The sequence below is a fragment of the Homo sapiens genome, chromosome 2 (assembly GCF_000001405.40).
Source record: "Homo sapiens chromosome 2, GRCh38.p14 Primary Assembly".
NCBI classification, from domain to species: Eukaryota; Metazoa; Chordata; class Mammalia; order Primates; family Hominidae; genus Homo; species Homo sapiens.
In genome coordinates, this window is record NC_000002.12 from 181,243,961 (window position 1) to 181,271,822 (window position 27,862).

A 27,862-nucleotide genomic window follows, 5' to 3' on the forward strand; every position below is an offset into this window, starting at 1 on the left:
ACATAGTCTCAGAATTAAAAAATAATTCTTCCAACTAAAAAAAAAAGAAAATGTGTGTGGTTTTTTTTTTTTTTTTTGGATAAGGCATGAGTTACAGAGTGCTTGCTTTTATTGAATATTATAGGAAACAAATATCAGCATGATCAATATTAACTGGAATTCAGTTAAGGTTATTTTTTCCTAAAATAAAGTTGCTTTTTGTTGAAAACTCAATACTTGATATTAGAAAATAAAGACAAAAGAACATTTAAAATGATAAGAATCCTGCCACCTAACAACCACTGTGCATAATGAAATACTATATATTCTTTCATATGGGTTTTTATAGATGCCTCTCCTAACTCCCTAGCTCGAAAAAACAAATACACACATAAACCAGATGTCTTCAATACTGACTAGTCTGTGAAGTCAAAATGAGGCCATATTTTCTTTGATGTTAAAATCATGATACTCCCAAGCCCCTGCATGCCTATAATTATGAAGCCTTGATTTTTCCTTGCCTTTTAGTGGTTTTATTGTTCGTTTGTTTTTGGAGATAGGCTCTCGCTCTGTCATCCAGGCTGGGATGTAATGGTGTGATAACAGCTCACTACAGCCTCAACCTCCTAGGCTCAAGAAATCTTCCTGCCTCAGCCTCCTGAGTAGCTGGGACTGCAGGTGAACACCACCACACCCAGCTAATTTTTTTAATTTTTTGTAGAAATGGGGTCTCCCTATGGTGCCCAGGCTAGTCTCAAACTCCTGGTCTTGAGCATTTCTCCTCCTTCGACCTCCCAAAGTATTGGGATTATAGGCATGAGCCACTCTGCATGCCCCGCCCGCCCCCAACCCCCGCCCCTGGCCCTGCCCCTTAGTGTTTTCTATGGTGCAGGTGAGAATTTCATGGTTTCTAACTCAAGCCAGGGGACTCCTCTGGTATATTTCACCTTGATGCAGAGAGTGGACAACCTTTAGCATGCCCTGTTTGCCTCACTGTTTCCACTCCACACAGCAATTCTTTGGAGTACCAGAGAGGAGCAGCCTTCCCCAAGTGTTAAGTTCAGTGATTGACACACCTCTCAAACACATAAGCCCAGAGTTTGAGCTCTTAGTAGTCAGTTTTCAGTGCACATAGGGTCATTTTTTATTTTTCTCAAGGTACCTTTTTAAAAAAATTCAGGTATACCCAGGTGGCTGGATCAGGCATTAGTTTTACACCATTCTCAAAACCAACACTTCTGATGGCCTAGATCTTGACACTAGTGCCAAGAGAAAGTCCACCAGTCAAGACTTGCTGGATGTGGTTGTGTAGGTTTTTTCCAGGTTCCAGTTGTGTTTTTCCTCCATTCAGCCTCAGCCAGGATCTCTCTGGTTCATCAGACCTATTTGAATGTTTGAATCTCAAAAGAAATTGAATTTTGATTTTCATCCTATTTCTTCTAGAAATCATCTTGACTCCTACATGAATTTGTGGGTGTAGATAAGTTGCTGGGGGAGGGTTACTATCTGGCTTCCTCCATCAAGAGCATCTACAAGACAGGCCTTGCCATGCCCAAACATATATAATTATCATTCTTTCCTCTCAGAAATCAACAAGTATTGGCCTTGCAGTGATCCTTCTACTAGGGAAGATCTACATACAGCATAATGGTTAAATAAACAACCTCTGGATTCGTGTGGCTAACATTTAAAGTTCTGACCTGTCATCTTCTGGTTGATGATCTTGTGAAATTTATTCAGTGGCTCTGTGGTTAATATGTCTTCATCAGTAAAACAGGGCACATAATAATCACACCTTTGTCATATATACTTCTAAGGATTAAATATATGAATACATAGTTAACAGTGTTCCTGGCACAAAGTTTGTGCTCAATTAACATCAGCCTTTATTACTTTAGTGGTTCTAAACATGGTTCCTTCCAGAACAATGAAAGGAGAAATATCCTCATCACTAAAGGTAAAAATTGCTACTGAATTAATTTTTTTGTGTGTTTTGAGATGGAGTCTTGCTCTGTTGCCCAGGCCTCCGCCTCCTGGGTTCAAGCAATTCTCCTGCCTCGCCCTCCTGAGTAGCTGGGATTACAGGCATGTGCCACCAGGCCCAGCTAATTTTTTTTTTTTTTTTTTTTTTTTTTTTTGTAGAGACAGGATTTCACCATGTTGGCCAGGCTGGTATCGCACTCCTCACCTCAAGTGATCTGTCTGCCTTGGCCTCCCAAAGTGGTGGGATGACAGGCATGAGCCACCATGCCTGGCCTGCTACTGAATTTTAAATATCACTTCTCTATTACATAAAAAAGTCTAATTCAATTGGTACCCCATTTCGCATTACCTAAATCTATAGAGATATGATTTTAAATGTTTTTTTTTTGGAATCCATATTGTTTTGTAGCCAGCTCTCCATAGCAATACATTGTGAAACTCTTCCCCTTGTCAACAGCTGTACTTCCAAGGTGTTTAAATTTTTATTATCCTATTTATAAGAGAGCTATGTTTTACCAATCACTTTGTATTTTCATGTTTTCAATGTTATCAATGATGGGGAAAGAAGATCTCATAGCAACATGGTCATATGACTCCTTAATTCTTTCCTCGGGACAAATATCACAAAAGGAATTTCAAAGCTTCTAAAATGTGTTGCTAAATTGCCCCAGAAACATTTACCTGTTTATATCAGTCAGCATCTCTGTATCCTCACCAACAGAATATTTTTAAAAATGTTTAATAGTTTGGTATACAAAAAAGCATGTTCCTTTCATGACTATCCTTTTAATATTAGTGAAGCTGAATGATTTTTATTATGGAAGGTTTTGAATTTGTGTGTGCGTAGCCTTTTTTTTTTTTTTTTTTTTTTGAAATGGAGTCTCACTCTGTCACCCAGGTTGGAATACAGTGGTGGTGACCTCCGCTCACTGCAACCTCCGCCTCCCAGGTTCAAGTGACTCTCCTGCCTCAGCCTCCCGAGTAGCTGGGACTATAGGCGCGTGCCACCATGCCTGGCTAATTTTTGTAGTTTTAGTAGAGAGGGGGTTTCACCATGTTGGTCAGGCTCGTCTCGAACTCCTGACCTCATGATCCGCCTGCCTCAGCCTCCCAAAGTGCTAGGATTACAGGTGTGAGCCACTGCACCCGGCCTTTTTTGGTTGTTTTTAAAGAGCTTTTTGTATATGTAAAAGAATCACAAATTTCCTTACTGCTATCCAGAAAGAAAGGAAATTTTGCTTATTAATTTTCTGCAACTAGTCCAGTTTTTCTCATGAGCCCCTATCTGGAGAAGGCAGTTGGTGGAGGTAGCAGTGAGGAAGAACTTAAACTTATCGATGAAAGTATCTCAGATATTTTTAGTTTTAACGACTTTTGTTCCCCAGATAACTTAATCTCAAGTAAATGCTCAGGCTGAAGATATACTTTCCCTCTCCCTGCTCCTTCAAGTGATATCTGATTATATTTTTGTGTTGGTGGTGAGTACTTATGTGATTCCATGTAGTGGGAGGGGAGTATGTGGATAAATGGTACAAAGGCGTCTGTGTAATCATCTGCCAGGTTTATCGCCTATCTGGCTCTTTGACACTCTTGGAAGCTTCTACTGAAGCTGTAGCTGGTCTCTTGTCTTGTTCAGAGCCTGGAGCCCCCTTACCTGCCTCAGTTGCATCTCATCTGGAGCCCTGTCGCTGTCCATTTAGCTCTGGCTTAATCCCTCCAATCTTCAGGCTTGGAAACTTCTCAGCCTCAAACCAGAGTCAAGGGAAGGCTCTTAGCTCAGGGCTCTTTCTCTTTCTATCACTTCAGGTGACCACTATTACTCCTTCATCTCTGTTTCAGAGTTTCAAATTGAGGGTGAGGCACAAGACTCTTCTGCTGTGGCTTTTCTCTCCACCTTTCTAAAACCCCACTCCTATCTGGGATTTTGGTTCAGGAGTGAAGAGCTAAGATAATTTTACCTGACGTTTTATTTCCCCACTTTTCCCTTTTCCACACTCTACTAGGATAGAATTGGCAGATTTTCTTCTTTCTCTTCTGGTCGGATTTGATCTCCTTTATGTCATATTCTGTTCCTAGGGACAGTAAGTGTCAAGGCATGGAAGAAACCCCCTGAACTTAATTGACTAGTCTTGGCGAGGTAGAATGGGTGCCTCAAGGCAACTACGAACCAGAGATTGCCCTATAGGGCAAAGATACATTGTGTCAATATTCCCCAGACATTGTTTGTTTTATAAATATATATGTACATATAGATTCAGATGTTCAAATTAGACAGAAATGATATCTGTTATGTATGTTGCAAATGTTTATGTCCCTGTTTTTCCTTTTTTAAAAAAATGTATGATGTTCCTTGATGTAGACAAGTTTTACATTTTCATATTGTCAAATCTACCAATTACATACTTTATGGTGTCTAAATTTTGTAAATCTTAAAGAGTCCTTTCCCTCATCAAGAAAACATTATATTTACATCCATTTTCTCCAAATATTTTTATGGCTTTTAAAAACTTTACCTGGAGGCATTTTGTAGCTACATATACATATGTATGTGTATACATACATACACATACATGTATACATATATTTAATAACCAACCCTTGAGCTCAACATATTTTGTTGAATAATCCATTTTTTCCTCACTGATTTGAAGTGTTACTTTACCATATATTAAATTCTTATTGCTTGTCTTTTTTCTGATCTTTGTTTCATGTTCCATTGATATATCTGTTTATTCCTTTACTAGTTCAAAAATATATTTTTAAAAGCTAGCTTTGAAATATGTTAATATCTATTTGAACTATTTCCCCCACTGCTTTTATTTATCAGCATTTTTTGGATCTTTTCATGAATTTTCCTCAGATGATTTCTGATTGGCATTTTCTTCATAGTATATTAAAATTTAATATTAAATCAAGAGAAACTTTTAAAAAAACAAAAGACAATTCTATTTTTCTCCATAGAATTTGTTAACATTCATTCATTTGGAGAATGGAAATAATTACCTCTATCTCCATCTTCCTCATCATCCAGTTCTGTTAGAAACAAAATGCAATTTAAAAATTGCAAAGTAGAATGAAATGTCAAGGCTTATCTAGATAAAAAAGCTAGAAAAATATTTGTGACTTCAGTATTTGAGAATCAAACCAAAGAAGGTGAGGTTTTTTGCCTTATATTATCCAGAGAATATACATTTTATTTGTACATGTATTAATTTCAGGATTTCTTTTCTCCTGATTTCAGAGTTTGTGGGTTTTTTTTTTTCTTTGCTATAATGATTAAGTTCCCAGACTTTAATGTGACTTTTTCAGTCATTTTAATGATGGAAAAAAATATAGAAGTTGGCTATCAAATTTATCTTTGCTTCTCCTTTTTCCTTTATCTCTTTGATTATATCAAAATTTCATTATTGTCCTCAAAATTACTGGGTTTCCCCCCAGTCAATACTTATTCTTTTAGGCCTAGATTTATAAAAATAATACCAAACTAATCAATTGATTCATTTTCTCCTGTAATTACGTATGCATGTATGTATGTATTATGTATTCCTTTTGAACTTAATCTTTTCTCTTAAGAACTATCTGTGGTGTGTGACTTCAAAAGAAGATTAAATATTTATAGTTATTGGAGGGACTTGGGGGCCATGGATTTTGCAGAGTCTTCTCTAGTGATCTTCTGCACCACAAAGAGTCAAAGTCATTGCATTGGCTACTTTTGTCACTCTCACTCTTCATGTCCTCCAAATATACAAGGGAGATAGTGCAGGGACCAATGATTTGGGTGGTGTATTGTAAAATCATCTGTAAGAACCAAAGAAGTTTATAATCTTTCAGCTTTGAGGTTACAAACAGAGTAAACGATCTAATTGCTTGATATATAGGCCCATTCCCTGCTGTGGATGATCCTCCTGGCTCAGTTTTGGAAAATAAAGGAGCAGACCAAACTGAGCTAGAAGGGAGAAAAGATGATGAATGCCAAAGAATATCTTCACCTAAAGAGAATCAAAATTAGCTATGCCAACTTGAGATGCCATCAGTTAAGCAAGTAATTCATGTTATCCTCATCTATAAGGATTTCTGTGATATTTTTATCTAAAAGATTTTTTAAACTAATACTTATTGAGTTTTACCAAAAAAGACCATAATAAATAAAACGTAATATATTTTCATATAACTAATTATGTTCTGTAATTTTAGCACCTTAACTCATGGCAATAAATTAGCAAAAACTGAGATTATTTGGTAGTATAACTACCCACATTGAGCACAGATGTTCAGCAAAAGATTTAGGAACTATTTTGGAAGCTCTCATTAGCTGAGGTAAATTAGCAGAATATTTATGGGTAATATTAAACTGTTCAGGTTCATATTTTCTTTCTTGATTGTTTTATCGAAGTCTCATAAATAGCAACAGCTGGCTTACTTGTCCTTTAGAAAGTTCTTGTAGATATCAGTAAGACTGAAGCCCAATATTTAACGGTTCTGAATATCAGAGCAGTGGCCTGGCCAGAGGTCACTCAAGCAAGCTCAATCCAGCTCCAGCTCTGCCCCCCAACCCCCACCCATGGGCCTCCTCTCATCTCCAAGACTTTGCTTTTTCCTAAAGTAGTTTATGGAATTGTTACAGTCCTAAGTTGTTTTTCAGAAGGGATCTAATTTGCTGTAGGTTATCTATCTCCTAGCCCAAAAATCCTCTAGGAGCCTAACTGATATCCAGAATACAAGGGATATATAGACTGAATATGTGAGAAGGGAATTAGAAGGCTTTATTATGTTTGCCATGGATTCTTCTAACCCAAACCAATACCCTATATGCATGCCTCCTTCTTCATCTGATTCATTCAGAAGCCCAAAAGATTCAATAAAGGCCAGGACTAGATACTAAATTAACAAAACATTTGAACTACCTTTAGAACTTGTAAACATTGAGTACAGTGTGAGAACTCAAAAGTCAACTGTATTGCTCAATGAATACAGTCAACTGTATTGCTCAATGATGGCTTTGGCGATCATCTTCCAGAGAAGTAAACCATAAATAGCCTAACTCCTGATATTCAGATGACCAGATGAGAGGCTTTACATGTTAGGAAGGAGTGATAACTACCATTGGGAATGTATATTTTGACTGACTGTCAGGATCTTAAATGCCAATCTAAATTTGAACTCTCCTATAAGCAAGCGATATGAGACAAACAAAGCTTAAGATCAAGAACTATGCAAATGATATTAAGGCTGATTAAACTTTAGATGGGGTCAATGAGAGTTGGGAAAACTTAGAGGCAGACAAACAGGTCCAGGCAATCCTCACAAAATCATCCAGGGAAGGTGAAGTGGGCCTGAGGTTGGCAGTAATGCTGAATGAAGAGAGGAATGCAGGGAACATTATGAAGATTAACTATTGGTGGCAACTGATTTCTTATAAGAATAATGATGAGAGTGGATTAGAATTATACTGTAGCATTTTGAGAACAGTAAAGATGGCAAAAATTCACTGAAAAAATATAGGCTAAGCTGGAAGGCTTCTGACTTTGGGGGATGCTATCATTTGCATGTTTGTCTTCTCCAAAACTCATATTGAAATTTAATTGCTTTTGTAACAGTATTAAGAGGTGAGACCTTTACCTTAACAGTATTAGGAGGTGGTTAGGCCACAAAGATTCCACCCTCATGGGTAGGATTGATGCCATGAGGCATCATGAGCCATGAAGCTCATGAGGATGAGCTTAAGTCAGGCATGGTGGCTCACGCCTGTGATCCCAGCTACTTAGGAGACTGACATGGGAGGATCGCTTGAGGCCAGGAGTTCCAGCCTGGGCAACATAGTGAGACCCATCCCTCTTAAAAAAAGAGCAAGGTCAGTTTCCTCTTGCTCTCTTTTGCCTTTCTGCCTTCTGCCATGGAATTATACAGCAAAAAGGCAATTGTTCAGCTGCTGACCCCTTGATCTTGGACTTTCCAGCCTCCAGAAATGTGAGCCAACTAATTTCTGGTTTTTTTTTTTTTTTTTTGAGATCGAGTCTCTCTCTGTTGCCCAGGCTGGAGTGTAGTGGCGCGATCTCCGCTCACTGCAAGCTCCGCCTCCCGGGTTTACGCCATCTCCTGCCTCAGCCTCCGGAGTAGCTGGGACTACAGGCACCCGCCACCACGCCCGTCTAATATGTTTGTATTTTCAGTAGAGGCAGGGTTTCACTGTGTTAGCCAGGATGGTCTCCATCTCCTGACCTCGTGATCCGCCCGCCTCGGCCTCCCAAAGTGCTGGGATTATAGGTGTGAGCCACCACGCCAGGCCAATTTCTGTTTTTTATAAATTACCCAGTTGTAGGTCTTCTATAGCAGCAAAAATAGATGAAGACAGAGGAAAATGATAATTTGAAGCAAATAATTCTGGGAAGGATTCCACAATAAGATATTGTCAGATATTAAGATAGTGGGTTCACTTTTGGATTACTTGCCAATGGTACTCTGAGAAGTCACATATTAGAAAAAGAGAAGGATGAGTCACTAGTACTTCTGCAAAATCTAATGATACTGCGAAACCACTGAAATACTGAAAGGAGGCACTGAAATAAGTTGTAGATGCAGCATGAAAGGCAGGAAATTTTGGAAAACAAAGTGCTTGCTTAACACTCAGGCAAGAAAACCCTACCCAACAGCATTTGGGTTAAATCATTGTTTAGTGTATCAGTCAGAGTCCAGGTGGGAAATATTCAATGTGAACATTTCAATCAGAGCGACTTTAATGCTGGACACTGTTTACACAGGTGATGTAAGAGCCAAGGAGCCAAACAGGAGATGGTGAACAAACCCAGAGATTGGCAACAGCAGGAAATCACCATACACCTAGGACTAGAGGCCCACAGAATATGTGATGTGGTGTTACCAGAGCCCAGAAGCTGGTGCTATGGTCACCAGCACAAGATGCTTCTGGAGACACAGAGAAGGGAAAAATACCCTGTCCTTGCTCTGTAGCCTGCTCATCAGTCTTCCATCGTTGCCTCCCATTGGCTGAGCCTACCTCCGTGCTAGAGGGCAAGGGAGCCTGGGAAGTGTGGTTTCCTGTAATGCTGGGCAGAGGAAGGACAGGGCTGGAGCAGATCTGTCTGAGCAAAAAGGGCATATAGTCAGCCTGTTACACGGTACCTAACACAGAGTAACTTGAGGTTTTGAGGGCAACTTCCTGAGAAACTTTTGGAAAATGAATACAAATTAAAAAGTTGATATTTATTTCTCCTCTGTAACTGCAATCAGAACAACATTGTGACTTTCAAATGCTATTGAAAGCAGAGAATGTAACAGCCATCTAAAATAGGGGCACATGAGTTTTCAGCTGCTGGACTAGCCTTCAGTCCACCCTTCCCCCTCCATTGCATTACCTTATTGACATCACCGTGTACTTCTTCTCTAGTTATCAAAACTGCGGAGCATCCACCAAAAAGAACAGTTCTGTCATTTAAAATGGAACAGATGAAAGTTTTCCATGATGCAAGAGTGGGATTTTAAAGATAATCGTGTTTCTGCTCTTCTCTAATTAGGACTGGACTTTAGTTTGTATTCTGCAAATGATTTATGATCTCCTGGCTAGAAGAATGAAAAAGACTCATAGTTTTAGATGTGTTGCCTTTGGCCTACTATAGGTCTCTCTGCAAGTAACTGTGCTTACATAGAAATAAAGAACACATGTGGTATGTGGTTGGGTCAGCATTTGCACCTTGCAGCTTGTCCTCAGAGCCCGTGCTATACCCATCATGTTGTGCAGTCAACCCTCTCAAGTAGTCCCGGATGTGGAGACAGAGAGGACAATTAGCGCAGACTTCTCTACAATTAGGAAGAATTTGATTTGGTGAGGCCCTTCTGAGGCTCTATTTGGACAAATATGCTTGACTGGCTCTCAACTGTGGGGGATGAAGAATTATCTCATGACCAAACGAGAGGCAAGAGAGTAGTGGCCAAGGATATGGAGTCTGGTCCATTTCACCTGGCTTCTTAGCTATTTTACTTGGATTTGGAGTGTTGGTTACTTCATCTATAAAATGATATTTTGTATCCACCTCATAGGGCAGTTTTAAGAATGAAATGAAATAATATATGTAAAGCACTTGTCACATAGTGAGTAGTTCTCAACATATAGTGATTATATTATTATTATGATTGTTATTATGAATTTGGAACCCAGATTATATACTGTTTTACTATGATAAATCCTAATTTACCCCGATACACTCCCCAAATCTATCTCTTCATGTAGGCATTTAACATTAATAAGCCCTTCCGAAGGCTATAGCTTTAAACTATGGTTTAGTTCTAAATCTTCTGTCTTTGTTTAACAGCAAAATAAATGGGAATCAGCTCCCCACTGAAAACTTCCTCAAGATTAACAGAAACAGTAAAAAAAGAAAAAAAAAATCCTTAGAGCTTTCAAGCTCCTTCGATATTCACTATTGTGAATATTGTTACCAAGTAATGTCCTAATAGTGTCTCCCCTTGGTATACTCTTTGTATGCTAAGGTCCCAGTGCACCTAGGCTATATGATGGTCCACATAATTGTCCCATGCCTATGTCCCCTGGTCACGTGTTGTTCTTGTTTCCCATCTACCTAGAAAATCACCCCCTTTCTCAACCTATTAAAAAGTTAGTCCATCTTACATGTTTATATTTCACAAGGCCTTTTCTTATCTTCTTAAATAAATGTGATTCTCCCTCTGATCTCTGAACTTACAGTGCTTCTTTGTACCTATCCTACTGCAATCACTTACTACCTTGTATTATGATTGTGAACCTGTCTGAGCCTTCCTTGCTATGATAAAGATGTAGGAACTGATATTACATCTGGACATTCCTTGTCGCAGCTTTCATTGTGCCTTGCACAGAGTAGTCATTTTAAAATTATGCAGATAATTTAATGTAGAAAAATTTGGGAAGAATAATATTTTCAGTTCAGTCCCCTTAGCCTCTGGCTCTGTCCCTCAGCTCAGCCGTATTCTGGTTGGACACTTTGTTCTCTGATTTTACATTAAACATTGTCTAAGTAAACTATGCATTGCAGAGATCATCTTTGAAAAATGATATTCAATGGGAAACATACTCCCATTTGTTTTACTGTTAAATAAAGGCAAGAGAGTTTGGAATTAAAACCCAACCTACTACAGCCTTTGGAATAGTTCTTTAATTGACCGTTACATATGTACATGGGAATAAAAACTCTCTTTATTGAATTGAGGAATATACCACCAAACAATGCTTGCTTTCCCAGATACCAAGGAAATAAGCATGCTTTCAGTGAATCAAAATCTTCTGCACTAACTCTTTCCTTCTGCAGGAGATCCTGTTGTTTGAGAGGAGGCAGAACACCCAAAATTCATTGCTCAGAACACACATACACCCACACACCAAATTTTACTTTTAAAAAGTTGTCAATTCATAGACATTATAGAAATTGGCAAGTTGGACCCAAGGAGAAACATTCTGATTTTCTTATGTTTAAGTATATGTCATGATAAAGATGAATGTGACTAGAAAAGCAAACACATTTTGAATCAACAGGCCATAAATACACTCTTTTATACATCATTTGGCATTGGAGTATTGCTGGTAGTATATAGTATGTGAGTATGTATTATTTAATGTGGTAAGAACCATCCTGTGGGAGAAAACAGAATGAAATAAAAGCCCCAGCTTTCTAGACTTGTTTCTGCTGAGGGGCTCTGTGACAGTGTGGCAACTGTCCAGGCTTTAAGCACTTGGCCATTGCATTTGGATTTTAAAAGAGCCCAACCCATAAATTCTGGTTGAAATTAGAGCTGGTGAAAAGAAATATACCCTAGGAGTTATTAATATGTAAATCTAGTAATCTGGGAAATTGAACGATCTCAGATTAGGGTTTCTGAATTTATGCAATCTAATTTTGACTGAAATGACACAACACTTCAACAGTTCTGTATAAATTTGACAGCAAATTGCATAATGTTTCTTTAAAATTAGTACAGAGAAAGAATGCTTCAGCAGAGTATAAGGCAAGAACACACATAGCTACAATGCATCACACCAATGTTCCATGTACTCTGAACTCTCATTTCCAAAACAGCCAATGCCATATGGTATGGTAAATTACAAAATCCAATAGTAAAGGGGTTCATGCCTTTATGAATGGGGCCAAATGGTTCCTTTAGTTTATCTTCGTCAGACTTAGAATGTTTTATCTCAGTTCTGGTACAAAGAACCAATTTTTCTTATCTCTGCCAATAGTACTGCCATTTAGAAGGATAGCACTGATAGCTGGAAATGTTTTTTGAAATTTCTCAACAGACACGCCTGTAGACACAGCTTTAATCAGTCGTGAAATGAGATACATGGTTAATCAGTTTACAATATGCACGTGAGTTTTCACTACTATTACTCTCTTTACAAATACTTAAAACAGTCTCAGGTAACCCTAAATAATCAATTTGTTTTGAAACCAAGTCATATAGCTCTTTTGCCTGACTAAAATAATAAATTGGTATAGTTAGCAGGCTGCATTAATCATTTCATATCCCCCTAGTACTACAAACACCCGGGGCACTCCACATTCATTTTATCATGCTGAAATGTAGTTGAATCAAATATTGGTTCAGACCCAGATCCATCGAGTCCAATTACCTGTCTGACAGTCACATGAAGGGAAGATTTATGGGTAAGCACGGCTTTCTCAAAGTTAAGTATTGTGTTTATATATTTCTTTGCTTTACCTGCATACTGTAATCTGTTGTGGATGTGTTATATAAATGAATGTAATTGTTTAAATTAATTTTAAATTTAAAGTCTATTATACTTGTACCTCTCTACAAAGATATCTCTTGCTTTTAAAAAATCAATCTAGTGAAAGCTCCAAGAGTGTCATCTAATTTGAATATTCAAGGATTTGTAAGTTCATTTGAGTAAGACTATTTGGAGAAAGAGCATTGATCTTAGAATAAGAGGACTTGGGTATGAATCTTTGCTCTCCTACTGATAAGTTAGCTGAATATGAGCAAACAATTTAAAATCCAAGCCTCATTTTGTTTTAAAACTTAGTAGTACCTGCCATATTTTCATTCATTTTTTCATTTATCCAATATTTATTGAGCATCTACTATATGTTAGGCACTTTACAATATTCTAGTTATACAAAGACTGAATAATAACTCAGTTCAACAGTCCAGGGATTCACCCATAAGTAGAAGGATGTTGTAAAAAAAAATAATTAGGCACCATTGTGAGGAGTATCATAACTGAGATATCTGGACCAATATGCCAGGAGATTAAAGAAGAAAGTACATTTATTTCTTTGTTTTGAGAGAAGATTTCAAAAAATAAATAATATTTAATTTGGTCCAAAGAACCAAGAAGAAAATGTACAGTATGGAAATATGAAAGGACATAGCTTAGAGAATCATGAAAAACATCGTGTGACTGGTGTATTAATAGAATGCGGGAGGTGGAGTGAGAGGGAGTGGACATTCCTTTGCCATAGAAGACTAACAATCATATCCATTGGGTCCCACATCATTTCTGCTTATCTATCCTTTCGAAAAAAGGCCATTGGATTATACAGTCATTCATTTCCTTTAAAAACGTGATACCCCATTTTAATATTTTTTGTGCTTAAATGTTCAATAGTATTGCTTTTTATTAGAGATTTAATCAAACTTCTAGATGTTGGACACGACTCAACAATCTATTTTCCAGAGTCTTCTTGAGAAAGTATCTTTGGGTAGGGAGTTGTATTAGCCACTCATCATTCTTTTCTAACATGGTGGTCTGAACTGCAAACATACATCTTTTGGCCAACAATTCTACAATTTCACTGCCTAGTCCTCATAATATTCTCAGGTAGATACCTTTAAGCCCCATCCTGTGAACATTAAGCTGGTAAAAAAGTTGTTCATAGCTGTGTAAACCCAGAAAGTTCTGTGGAGGACATAAGCTTTGACCTAGATCTTAAAAGACAATTAGAAAGAGAGTGGGCATTGCAGGCAGAGGAAATCTTATAAATAAGGTACAGAGGCAGGGAAACTCAGGGCTTGGAGCATGAAGGAGGAGGCAGGAAATATCATGAACCCATTGAATGAGAAATCATGATTGCCTGCTTGCAGTTGGGCTTTATTAAATAGATAGTTCGGGGTAATCAAAGATTTTAGATCATAATAATATGAATTGTTCTCTAGGAAAATGAATCACAACTCAGACTGTAGAGGGAGATTGAGGATAGGAATCCAGGTAGCTAATATTTAAAGAATAAATACATAGTAAAAAAGGAAGTCTTGAATTGTGGCTGCAGCATTGAAAACAAACAGAAGGGAACGACTTGGAGATGTATTATACATGTAGAATCAATTGACAAGCAACTGATGGGGGAGGAAGGGATGGTGTTTAAGTGATTCCAAACTTTTGAACTGAGGTAATGCTAGTTCCATGAATAGAAAGTATAGGCACAGAAGGAGGAGGAAGAGAATGTTGCTGGGAAAATATAATGAGTTAATTAGCTATACATATGTAACGTAAGTAGAGATAATAGACTACTTATAAAATTAGACATATGGGTCAGAGGAAATAAAGACTTTGCTAATTGTCTGACATCTGTGTCCACTTGTCTTCTGGTTATAACTATAAAATACTAAAGTGAAAGGTGAATTATGATTACAAACCTATCCTTCCAAGTTTACTGGGAATTAAGTATACTATTGTTCTAATCTAACTATACCACACCCTCGTCAATGTGGTCCCTTTTCATACTAATATATCACCCGGGTCTTTAACTCAGTAGTCTCAATTAGATCGTAAGCAAATAAAGAATCTCTATCTCTCCACTTTACTCCTATATGACGGCTGGAAAAGTTTATTGGTTCTGAACCCAGATAGCTTCTTTGTAAGTCTTTTCTCTTTCTAAACTACTGTAATTAATCATTTCCAGACTGACAATAATTCTACTGTCTTCATTTCACAGACAAACTCATATGGTTTTGCAACACTTCAGATAACTTATTACTAGGTTAGAAAGGAATGAAGATACCCTTTCAGGCTTCTCCAGTTTTGCTATGTGCTGTCAGGTCAACATTCTCAACACAACTAAACAGGGACAGATGGTGCCCATTCCCTCAGTGACAGAATGATCCAGCAATGTCAAAGGCATTTACATCCTTGAGAGAGAGATGCTTTATGACTAAAAGTTTCCCACCGTGTGTACTCCAGAATACAGAAATAAAACTCCAGTAACAATTCATGTCCAATTATGTTAAACTTTAATTACATAAATCATTAGAAATAGACTCAGTTACTTTGTTCTATTATCAGTTCTCCAAGGAGTCTTTCTAGAAGGGCATTTGTGAGCTTGACTTGAAGGTGTCTGCACTAATGATTATGTGAAATTCAAAGTTGGATACATGTTCTAAAATGAAGGCTGTGTATTTTAAACCGCTATAGTAAAATTGAAAAAGGAAGATGTTATTCAGGAACATGGCCATTAATTTGGATAACATAAATTGAATCTTGTTTATTTAAACAATTTTCTTAACCTTTATTTGATATATTATAAAATTGAATTTTATCTTTTCTTATTCTGTAAACCTGGCCATAAATAACTTATATATTTGATAATTAAAAGATTTTAATGATGAATAGACTGTAATTATACAGTCCCATCCTGTCCATTTCCTCCTCTACTTTTAAGGGCACCCAGTATTCATTCTTAAAACTATAACTTAAAATTCTTAAAGAATCTGTTGACCTGAATTATAGTTTTAATTCTGGCATTAACTATTTATGTAATCTTTGCTAATAGTTTTATTTTTCTGAATCTCAGATTCCTCATATACAAAGGACAAAAGTTATTTAGCTAAGATTTCTTCCATCTTTGAAATTCTATTGTATGATTTGTTCAGATGAAAATAGTAAATAAATAATGATATAAATATAAAATAAGATTTGGCAACATGTAAACATTTATTTCTGTCATTGAAGTTATATTATTTTTATTTAAAAGTATAAAGTTTTAAAACCCATAAAGTTTTTTTGTCTTTGCCTTAGTTGAATATGACCATATTCTTATCTTGAAAATACCAGACCTGGGAGTACATCTCCATATCTTCTACACTATTTTTACCTCTGGATATTTCCATCACAGAGGTTATATCCTCTAAAAATCCTCCATTGTACTACAATTATATGTACTATAATACATATGCATTACATGTATTAATTCAGTTACCCTTTTTTATTGATTTCACTATAACAAGTATGTTTAAACTATTAAGGAGTGAAGAGGAACAAAACAGTGGCTCATTGACTTCAAGGAAAGTTAGCCAAAAGTGAGCTGTTGCTTATTCAATAGCAGATCTATGTTCCACTGTGTTGGAATAAACCACTGCTTTGCTCCATTCCCTCCAAGTCCCTCTGCCACTAAACGTCTATCTTGTGGTCTGACAGCTCGAAAAGTCACAGATCTCTTTGTGATGGTATTAGATCATATTCACATTATAAAATCTGTCAACACTAAGTTTTCCTTGAAGTACTTCTTTACTTGCATCCCATAAGTTTTTGGATATTGTGTCCTTATTTACATTTACCTCAAAGTATTTTCTAATTTTCTGATTTCCTCTTTGACCCACTGATTACTTAGTCCTATGCTGTTTAATTTGCACATATTTATATATATCTATAGATGAGCTTTGAGAGAATTCTCATCTTAATAAAATTGTACTTTCCAATTTATTAAGATGATATAGCTCTCCATTTATTTAGGTCTTTGATTTCTTCCATCAATACTTTGTACTTTTCAACATACAGCTCTTACACATATTTTGTAAGATTTATATCAAAGTATTTCATATTTTGGAGCTATTGTAAATTATACTTTTAATGTTAATATCCAGTTGCTCATTGCTAGTATATAAACTTGTCATTGATTTGGGGCTATTTAACCTGTATCCTACAGCTTTGCTAAACCTACCTAGTCATTATAATAGCTTTTTAATAGATTCTTTGAGATTTTTTATGTTCACAATCATGTCATCTAAAAAAGGAGACTTTTATTTATTTCTTTCAATTCTGGGTGCCTTTTATTATTACTTTATTGTGCTGGCTAAGACATGTATTGGGATTTTGAATAGAAATTGTGAAAGTAGATATCTTTGCTTTGTTCTTAATTTTAGGGGGAAACAGTCATTTGGTATGAAATACAATGTTATGTATATGTTTCTTTTTAGATATTCTTTATCAGGTTGATGGAGATATCTTTTATTTCTAATTTGTGAAAGGTTTTTATTATAAACAGATGGTATATGTTTTTAGACTTTTTCACTATCTGTTGAGTTGATCATGTGGTTTTTCTCTTTGATATGTCAATATAGTAAATTTTATTGATTAACTTTTGAGTATTGAACCAGTCTTGCATTTGGGGAATAACCTTTACTTGGTCATGATATATTATTCTTTTTTATATTGTTGAATTAAATTTGGTATTATTTTTAAAGATTTCTGTGTCTATGAGGAATGTTGATCTATACTTTTCTAGTAATGTCTTTTCCAGTTTTGATGTCAGGGCAATTTTAGCTTCACAGAATGAATTTCAATTTTCTGAAGTAATTTGCAAAGAATAGATATTAATAGATATTATCTCTTCCTTGAATTTTTGGTAGAATTTACCAGTGAAGCCATGATAGATAGAACTAGCTTTTGGGTCATTGAAAAGTATGCTTGAGATGCTAGAGAGAAAAGAAAATGGCCTTGCTGCAAATTTCCATAATTTCATGCTTAAGATATTAATGACATGTGAGAGGAATGACCTGAAAGACAAGCTTCTGTTCACATTTTATCTATTTTAAGTCAATGATTTTAGCTTCTAAATTTAATATGGAGAAAAAATTGCATCATCTTATAATTAAAAAGCAAAGAGGTATCTATCTCCTTAAAAATAAACCCACATCATAATATGACCTTTTTAAGAAAATGTCTTGCTGAAAACCACAGCAATAAAACAAACCACCTAAGGCCTTTTGTAAATCTTACTGCAAGTAATAGCTTTAAGAGGGAAAGGTTGATTTGTTATTTTAAAACTCCTCAGAATCAAATATGTTCCTATTGTTCAGGAGGCCATAGTCTCTTGTTATCTATTCTGTAAAAATATTATCATACAAAATACCTGCCATAATGTAGATTAGGGAACATAACCATAATTTTATATAGGAGAATTTACAATTGAACTGTAACAATAGAAGAAATATTACAATCATACTTGTAAAACACATGCAAATTAATTATTTTGAATACAAAACAAATAGAGTCTCTTTTGTCTCAGGACAGAATAGAATCTGCAGCGTCTTTTTTGCCGAATCCTAAATTGAAGCAAATATTTTTTGTCTGACTCTTCTCCAGGTGGTTGGGAATAGATACCACATAATTGAGGCATTGGATGGAGAGGAGTACCCCAAATACTCTCTATGTGGAATAATTCAGTTACTTCTCTCTCAAAATAAACGTATATCACATTGAAAATAAATAGCCCCTTTGCTTCACAGTCCTGAAGCTCCATACTATACGAGGACCTCAGGCTAAGTTTGGGGAATAATACAGTAACTAGAGCAGACAATTGCTAATTTCATGGTGGGATAATCATACTTCTAACATTTGGGCTAGTGGACTTCTAGGGAAGATGCACATTTATAACCTTGAGGCCAGTGAAGCCCATAGAAAAAATTATAAAATAGATGAATACATAAATAATATGAATAATTATAAAATAGATTGAACCATAGGAGAAAAAAATAGAGTTCTTTCGTCTGAGTCTGGGTGAGGCTATGGCAAAGAGGGACTTGATGTTTTGTGACTTCAAAAACTTGGTCATAAAAAAGTCAACATTTTCCCTCATCTTTTTTCTCTTGGGATGCATACTTTAAGAACCCTGAGGTATCATGAAGAAATCCATATGCCCTGAAGTTACCATCCTAGAGACATCATTTGGAGAGACTACAGTGCACAGAAGTAGAGAGGCCCAGCTGTGCCTGTCCCCAACTGATGGAGTCTTCTCAGTGTCAGTCACCAGACATGTGAGTGAATGAGCCTTCAGATGATTATAGCCCCTCATACTTCAAACCAGAGGAAGTCAGACATAGTGAAGCAGAGGCAAGTAGTCCTTGCAGTTCCTAGCCCTCAATAATTAATAAGCATAAGTCACTGTTCTACACCACTGTGGTTTTGGAGCAACTTGTGACATAGCAATGGACAGTTAAAATAGAGAGTCATCTGACCTGAGGACAGCCAAAGATAGAAAAAGGAGGTAATTTACTATAGTGACTTTTTTCTGATAGAAACAATTAGATTTTTCTTTTTCTGAAATTTTGACTGGAATTCTAGAGAGAGAGAGAAAATCAGTTGTCAATGGGAAAAGGAGCAAAAAGATATTGATGGAGAAAAGTCAGTGGCAGAAGCTGTGAAGTATAACCTCCTAATAAATGAGTGTGTATAATACCCAGAGCAGAGGATGAGCTGGTTAGTTGGTAGTGACAAAAGACAGAGAAAAGTTAAATGACTATAATAATAGAAATAAATGGCTAAAATAATGGTTCTGGAGGTAGACTCCTATGTTCAAATCTTGACTCTGTGTATTGGGAAGTCACTTAAATTTTCTGTGCTTAATTTTCCTCCTCCTATGTACAAAGCATTTAGAATAATGCCTAGAACGTAGTATATGTTTAATATTATTATGGATATTGACACAACCCTTCTGCTGTGGCTGCAGTAAGTTAATTGAATAGAAAGATCCATCCTGTAAAACCGGTGACCTTCAAGTTCCTCATTTTTTTAGACTCTTGGGTCCTCATGAACCCCAGATGTCTGTGATTCATGATTTCTCTATTTTAAAATCTAGTTTTACTTTAAAGTACTATTATTTAAAAGTTATTTTTAATTTTCACCAAAGGTGTTATTCCTAAGAGCAAGGCTCACAGGGTGTTTACAGTAAAGTGTGTGTCTGTGTGTGTGTGTGTGTGTGTGTGTGTGTGTGTGTTGGCTAGATAGATGAATAGATAAGTAGAAAGATCTCCCTGTCTATATGCTTCAGGTTTCATTTTTCTCTTTTACAAAGCTCTGTGCACTTGAAATAATTGACAATTGCTTTTAAAATATATATATTGTTTGATGGCTCCCTGATTGATGAACTGTAAGTTCCATACGGGCAGTGGCTGTCTTTTGTTCACTGCTGCATTACCAGAAGCTAGCTGCAAGGAAAAGCTCTCAGGCAGGATTCATTTAACCTGCTAGGCATGGGAATGCCTGAGACCTTTGATTCACTGAGTCTCACAGTAAATGCTTCAGGAATATAAAGGAGTGTTTTGTGTTGGTTATTTGACCTGGTGAGCAAGCAGGCATAGAGCCAGTCTTTCTAGGAGCAGTCCTGGGGGCAGAGATTTTATTTAAAAACTTGAGAATAGCAAAAGTAATCATTTCTAAGATCTGACAGACTCCTGAGTGGTATCTGTCATTATTTGGGTGTCTGAAGGTTATTGCTCCGCCACAAGCCTCCTACTATGTCCCCAGCTCTGGGGGCTATTTGCTCACAGGTGAGTTCTTGTATTCTTCACCTGTACCATTTTGCTCTTGGCATCTTTTCTTCGGTTCCTATCACCCTGTGACAACATCCACTAGCATAGATGTGGATCCCTAAAACACATTCAATACATATTTGTGAACTGACCAACTGCCAAGAAATTTCTTTACAACAAAACCACTGAGTTCTATAGAGAGTGTAGCTGAGGTTGAGTAAGCCTATCTTTCTATTCCTTTTTCCCTTGTCCATTTTCATGTGGTTGCAAAAATTCCTCATAGAAGGATGTATCCTTTGGATTTATCCAAGTGATTTGTTTTTTGGGGGGCAGAATAATATCCCATTGAGCTTATTAAAGAAAACTGCTGGCCGAGCATAGTGGCTCACACCTGTAATCCCAGCACTTTGGGAGGCCGAGGCGGGTGGATCACGAGGTCAGGAGATAGAGACCATCCTGGCCAACATAGTGAAACCCCGTGTCTACTAAAAATACAAAAAATTAGCCAGGCATGGTGGCAGGCACCTGTAGTCCCAGCTACTCGGGAGGCTGAGTCAGGAGAATGGCATGAACCCACAAGGCAGAGCTTGCGGTGAGCCAAGATCACGCCACTGCTATCCAGCCTGGGTGACAGAGCAAGACTCTGTCTCAAAAAATAGAAAAAGAAAACTGCTAAGCACATTTACAAACAAAACACCAGAATTAACATGTCACCAGCAAATTTACTCTTGGAGGTCAGCTCAGCAGGTTCAGTAAAGTGCTCTCTGTCAACTTCCAGGCTTGTCAATGGAAACAGAGCTCCAGTCTAGTGATAAAATTTGGCTCTGTGTCCCCATCCAAATATCATTTTGAATTGTAATCCCCTTGTGTCAGGGGAAGGGTCTGATGAGAGGGGATTGAATCATGGGGGAAGACTTCCCCCTTGCTGTTCTTGTGATAATGAGTGAGTTCTCAGGAGATCTGGTTGTTTGAAAGTGTGTAGCACTTCTCCCTTCATGTCTCTCGCCCTCCTGCTCTGCCATGGTAAGATGTGCTTGCTTCTCCTTTGCCTTCTGCCATGATTGTAAGGTTCCTGAGTCCTCCCACCCATGCTTCCTGTACAGCCTGCAAAACTGTGAGTCAATTAAACCTCTTTTCTTCAAAAATTACCCAGTCTCAGGTAGTTCTTTATAGCAGTGTTAAAATGGACTAATACATCTAGTTACCTCTACTACCCAGGCCTTACTCATGAATAGAAGAAGGCAAAAATCATACTTCTTAGCATTTTATTACCACAAACTCTGTACACTTATGTTGTGTTGAATGGGAGATGCTACAGAATGAGAAGTCAAATGCAAACCTGGCCTTTATGGCAGGAAAATCCCCTAGGGTAGGAATTCTGGATCATCTCACCAGGAGAAGCAGCCAGAGAAAAGGAGAAGCAGTGTGTGCTGTGACTTTAGGCAAGTATCTTGGCTCCTCTGGACCTCAGTTTCATCTTCTGTTGAGAAAATGGTTGTTAAGTAGTACCTTATTTTAGACTTATTATGAAAATTTTCAAACACACAGAGAAGTAGAAAAAGGGTGCAATGGACATCCATATACACACCATCTGTGTTCCACAATTGCTAGCATTTTGCCATATTTGCTTCACTAATGCATGCATATCTATCTAAAATGTGCCAAGCCATTTTAAAGTGAATTTTAACTGTCAGGGCATTTCATCGTAAATACTTCAGCTTGTATATTCAGAAATTGAGGACATTTTTCCACATAACCATAGGGACATTCACAGGATGATTCTGGAGTCCTCCTATCTCTGGGTGTCTTAGACATCATTTTTATCAGACATATGTGAGGAGATAAATAGGAGCAGAGACAGATATACCATGAAGCATATGCAACTTTAACTTCAAGACTTCTCACTTATTGACAAGGAAAACGATCTTAGCCATAACTGGCTAAGACCATTATCTCTTTTCAGTCTGGCTTCTCCTCCCTTACACCCCAACCTCCTATATACACACATCCCCATATCAGGCAACATAGGAAGGGCTTTGAACATTTTTGGGATTCCATATAAAGAGAGATTGGATAAATAATTTTTTTTGCCATCACTGCTGTGCATAGTGAGATTATGGTTAGCTCTTCAGAGGTACAAATGACTTCTAAGAATACTCTTACTATCCATGGCTAGAAGTCTTAAAACACCATCCTGCAGTGCCTGGTATCAGAAATGTGAGGAATGGAAGAAACACATAGATGGACATGAATGGAACTGCAGTGAATCTGGGAAAAGACATCCAGTCAGTAGATATGTAAATTAGAAAGGTGACGGTTTTGTTGTCATGCATGCCTAATGAAAATGCAAGTTCTTTCCTGTCAGGAATATACTGGTTAACATAATGCATACAGTTAAATATGCACTATACATACTATTCGAGGAATTGCACAAAATATAGTTTATCATAATAATCAGAAAACCTGTTGTTGTACTACACTGAATGCCTCTGAATGAGATGCTGCATGTTTTATACATCTAAACACGTTCTAGAGAATCTCACTCATTTTTACCTAAGGAAGTTTGGCAGCTTCAGAGAAAGTATGCAACATTTTCAGTGGCACTGTGAAATGTAAACATAATATGTTAATGAAGTAAATATGGCAAAATGTTAACAATTGTTGAATCCAGGCAGTGGGCACATGGATGCATACTGTGCTATTGTTCCATATTTGAAAGTTTTCATCATGAAAAGTTAAAAACACCACCCTGTAAAATCCATTTACTTTGTAGGAGAGGAAATGAGCACATACATCAATAAGTTGATATATATGGTAAAAAAGGAATTTGATTATACAGTCATACTGGCTCATACTACAGGGTGGCATTTCAAGAAAGCATTTGGTTTGCTATAGTGTATAACTTAATTTCCTCTTAATTTTGTATGTTTTTTATGATTGTTCATCAGCTCAACATTCAAATATGACTGAAATGAAGTATGTTGATGGAATCCAAAAAAACAAAGTAAAAGACAGAAGACTGGCAGAAGCTTCAAAATGCCAAAAACTCACTTAGCATATTGTAATGAAATTTAGAAGCTCAGATGTCAAAATCAATTAAAAATTTTCTATGTTATCAACTAAAAAATAACCTTTTAGTCATACAAAAGCAAAGACTAAATCTACATTCTCTATAACATTGTAAAATCATTATCATATGGAGAAGCAATCAAAGAGTATGCAGCCAAAAAAAACTGGGGAAAATAAAGTTGTGTCAGGTGGTTAATTATTGAAATACATTTTCTTGAATTTTTGATATCTATGCTATTTTCTAACTTTTCAATTATGTAGCTTGCTGCATTTTTAACCTTTCAATTATGTAGCTTGTAGCGTTTTTCTCATTTAAATTAATATTTACCTTTGTAGTTTTGAATTTATAGTTTTGTAATCTTAAAGAGGGCTGAAAAATTTTATACACTCAAGTTGCCAAGATTGATCACTGGTTATCATCACTCTAGATTTCATACAAAATGCAAATAGAAAAATTCTGTTTTCTACTCTTCTCAAGCTTATTTTTTTCTAGTGGCAAATGTATAATATTAAAGCTAATATAATATTAGAAATTCAAATATTTTAATATTTTAGTGAGGAAACTAAAGCTCAAAAAACTGACAACATTTTCCAAGTCAGATCAGTTGGCAGCAACACACAATAATCATGGTTCAGGGCTCCTGGTTCCTATCCCCCGTTCTTTTCATCATATTATGTGGTCACTCTTTAGTTAAAGAAATGTGTTATAAAAGAGAATACTCAAAATATGGCATTGATGAGATGACTCTGTGAAGTTCTTACTATTAATTTACTCAACCACTAACTTAACCATCAACCATTCAGTGAGCACTGGGCATTCACAGGTGGCTCCTGACCACATAGCCCCTGACCTTAAGCAGCTCAAAGGAGCAGACTAATATAGACTAGTAGACTAATATAGAAAAATGTTGTAAGATGCATAGTAATTGTACACCTTGGAAATCCACCAGGGAAAGAATGTGAATCTTCTGATCCATAATATGATTTGTGCCCCTACATATTCCTTGGGGATATGTAGGAGGGCTGGTTCTGGCTCCATCTGCCACCACAGAAATAATCTCTCTATCGTATCTCACTGTCCTTCCCACCACACACACAGTCTATTTTTACTCTCATTCTTACTGTAATTCACCACACACACACTCTATTCTTACTCTAATTCTTACTGTAATTCACCACACACACACAGTCTATTCTTACTCTAATTCAGCACACACACACTCTATTGTTACTCTAAGTGAAGAGTATTAGAAATAACTTTACTTCTCAATCCTCCACTACACACACACACACACACACACACACACGCACAGAGACAGAGAGAGAGAGAGATTTATTAAATTGGATCACGCAATTCTGGAGTCTGAAGACTGATAACCAGGAGGGCCAATAGAGTACGTTCCAGTCCAAGTCCAACAAGTCCAAAGGCAGGAGAAGACCTGTGTCTCAACTCAAAGACCATCATGCAGAGAGAGTGGATTCTCTCTTTCTCAGTCTTTTGGTCTATTAATGCCTTCAAGATATTGGATGAGACCTACATTGGAAGAAAATATGCTTTACTCTGTCTATTAATTCAAATAGTAATCTCACCCAGAAACATTCTCATAGACACACTTAAATAATACTTAAATAACTGGGTACCTGTGGCTCGGTCAAATTTACACGTGAAATTAACCATTACATCCATCTTTCTTCTCTTCTTCTTGACCTCTTTCTTCATTGCTACCTTAGATTAGGGCTCTCCAGAAGCAGACTCTCAGATGAGAATTTGTGGAAAAGTAGGTTACTAAGAAATATTCCCAGGGAAAAAAAGAAAAGGAACAGACAGTGGGACTGGGAAGGAGAGAAGGCCAAGCCAGGGTGGATTAAGCCAAGTTCTAGTGAGATGAAGAAGCTCTGGAGGCATGCAGGCCATACCTCAGAGATCACCCTGGCAGGTGCTGGGTAAATGGGATATTTACACCCACACAAGTCCCATTAATGGTAAGGATGTAAGTTTTCAGCTACTCGCTGTTCTCTGTTCACAACAATCATAGGCTCTGGCAGCCAGAGAGTAGCCCTCTGAGGAGGTATCACAGGTATGGCTTTTGAAAATGGAAGCACCATATCCAGGCAGATCAAAAGAGATCTGAGAGAATTGGGAGGAACACAGGCAGCATGTGCTGCAGTCGTCATCCTCTTAGTAATAGCCACAATAATCTCAATGTCATCAAAGACTCTGCACGAGACCCTGGACTCCATATTTTCCATATATGATATTAGCAGTCAATCATCACATCAGATTTATTATAATTAATACAATCTCCATTCTACAGAGGTGAGGAATGGGGCTCAAAGGAAGATAAGTGACCACAGGAACAGCCAGTGCTGATACAGTCTTTCCCACCCCCAGATGCTGCCAATTCCTTGTCCCATGTCACTGCCCAAAATTATCTGCTGAAAATACCATGTACTTGCCATGTGTATTAGTCTGTTCTCATGCTGCTAATAAAGACATACCTGAGACTGGGTAATTTATAAAGGGAAGAAGTTTAATGGACTCATAGTTCCACATGGCTGGGAAGGCCTCACAATCATAGCAGAAGAGGAAGGGAGAGCAAAGAAACGTCTTACATGGTGGCAGCCAACAGGGCTTATGCAGGAGAAGTCCCCTTAATAAAATCATCAAATCTCATGAGACTTATTCACTATCATGAGAACAGTACAGGAAAAACCCACCCACCCATGATTCAATTACTTCCCACCGGCTCCCTTCCATGACAAGAGGGAATTATTGCAATTCAAGGTGAGATTTGGGTGGAGACACAGAGCTAAACCATATCATCATGTAAGATAATTGGATAGAATGCCAACATGTCCATATGTGGTAGAGAAAATGTTTCATTACTTATAGTTGTGCTCACATATATTTTGTTAAGTGCCTAGGACATAACCCTGCATTCATTCAGAACCCTCCTGATATTGATGAAAAGTAATGCAGGTCTAAGCTGGCAAACAAAAACATCTGCAATTGCTCTAAAAGTTTATTTTTTAAAGCTACTTAAAAGATGCAATAGTTGGCTGTCATGGAACTTTTTACACCCAATTTTACACTCTGGGTTTCAGAAATTTGCTGAATATAAAACAAGTCTTTAGACTACCGAGTGTAGTGCTATTTTTTTAGTAGCAAGAAACAGTATTTCCAGATTTAGCCATTCACTACTAAGTGTAAAGAACAAGTGGTGGAAAATTCTGTGTGTAAGCTATAAGTGCTAAGAATGTCCCACGGTGGGGAGTCATATAGCTTCACCTCCTAAAGGCTCTCAAAGAGACAGCTGCATGTTTTTTAAACAAAATAAATGGATTTGTATACTCCACTACTCCAGAGTTAGCAATTACTTTGAGTTCTTCATTAAAAATGCATATAAGTGAAGACATAATTAGGAAGATTTAGAAATCTTTGTGTTTTCTGTAGTTATTTAATGTTTTGCAAAAGGAATACTGTCAAAAAAATTTACCGTTTCTCAATGTTAATTTTGAAAGTGGCTTAGTAAGGGATAGTTGAACCAAACCACGGCATTGTTTTAGGGTGGATATCAGGTTGTTTTTCTTGGTGAGTGATTTCCTCGCCTATCATAAATTAGTATTTTCAGCTTCTGAGATTTCTCAAAGAATTGAACAACAGAATATTTATTTAAAGTGATATCTTTCAAATTAGAGCTTTCTAATTATGTGGGGGAAACCAGAAATTTGATAAATGTGCACAATTGTACAATACTGAATATTTTTAAAAGATAGTCAGAATTCTTTCTTATTAATTTTCACCTTGCATTTTAACACATTTGGCTTCTTTTATTGTGGTGTCTAGCATTATCTTCCATAGAGAAATGCACTTCCAGGAATGCTTCAGCCTGTGTGGGTACATTTAAAGTTACCTGATAATGATGATGAGATGAATTCATGCAGTAATTAGAAGAAAGATAGCTTGAGGCACCTAAATTATGTGGCTCCAACTGGCCTTCTTTTGGAAAACAGCTAAAAAAGGTTATCATCTTCATTTTGTGAATGTTTTTCATTTAAAAGGAAAACAATGCTCATAAAAGTTTTAATATTATAGACTAGAAGAAGAGCGAACTATTTAAATACAAGTTCCTTTAATTTTCAGGTATATTTATTTTGGTTTCCTTCTGGACGCTGGTGAATGATGGTTATTGTTTTCACACAATGGTATCATATGTATGTGACTTCTGACCCTGGAGACAAACCCTCCCCACACACACACACACTAACAAGGGACCCACAC

General features: G+C 36.9%; 1 long non-coding RNA gene across 1 annotated transcript in view; it reads left to right on the forward strand.

Moving 5' to 3' along the window:
* LINC01934 (long intergenic non-protein coding RNA 1934) overlaps positions 1-27,862 on the forward strand; it is a 275,717-nt gene that overhangs the window by 120,124 nt on the left and 127,731 nt on the right. The window contains exon 3 of the long non-coding RNA NR_130784.1: positions 18,869-19,017. This is a non-coding gene — a long non-coding RNA (long intergenic non-protein coding RNA 1934). The remainder of the gene's footprint in view (positions 1-18,868; positions 19,018-27,862) is intronic.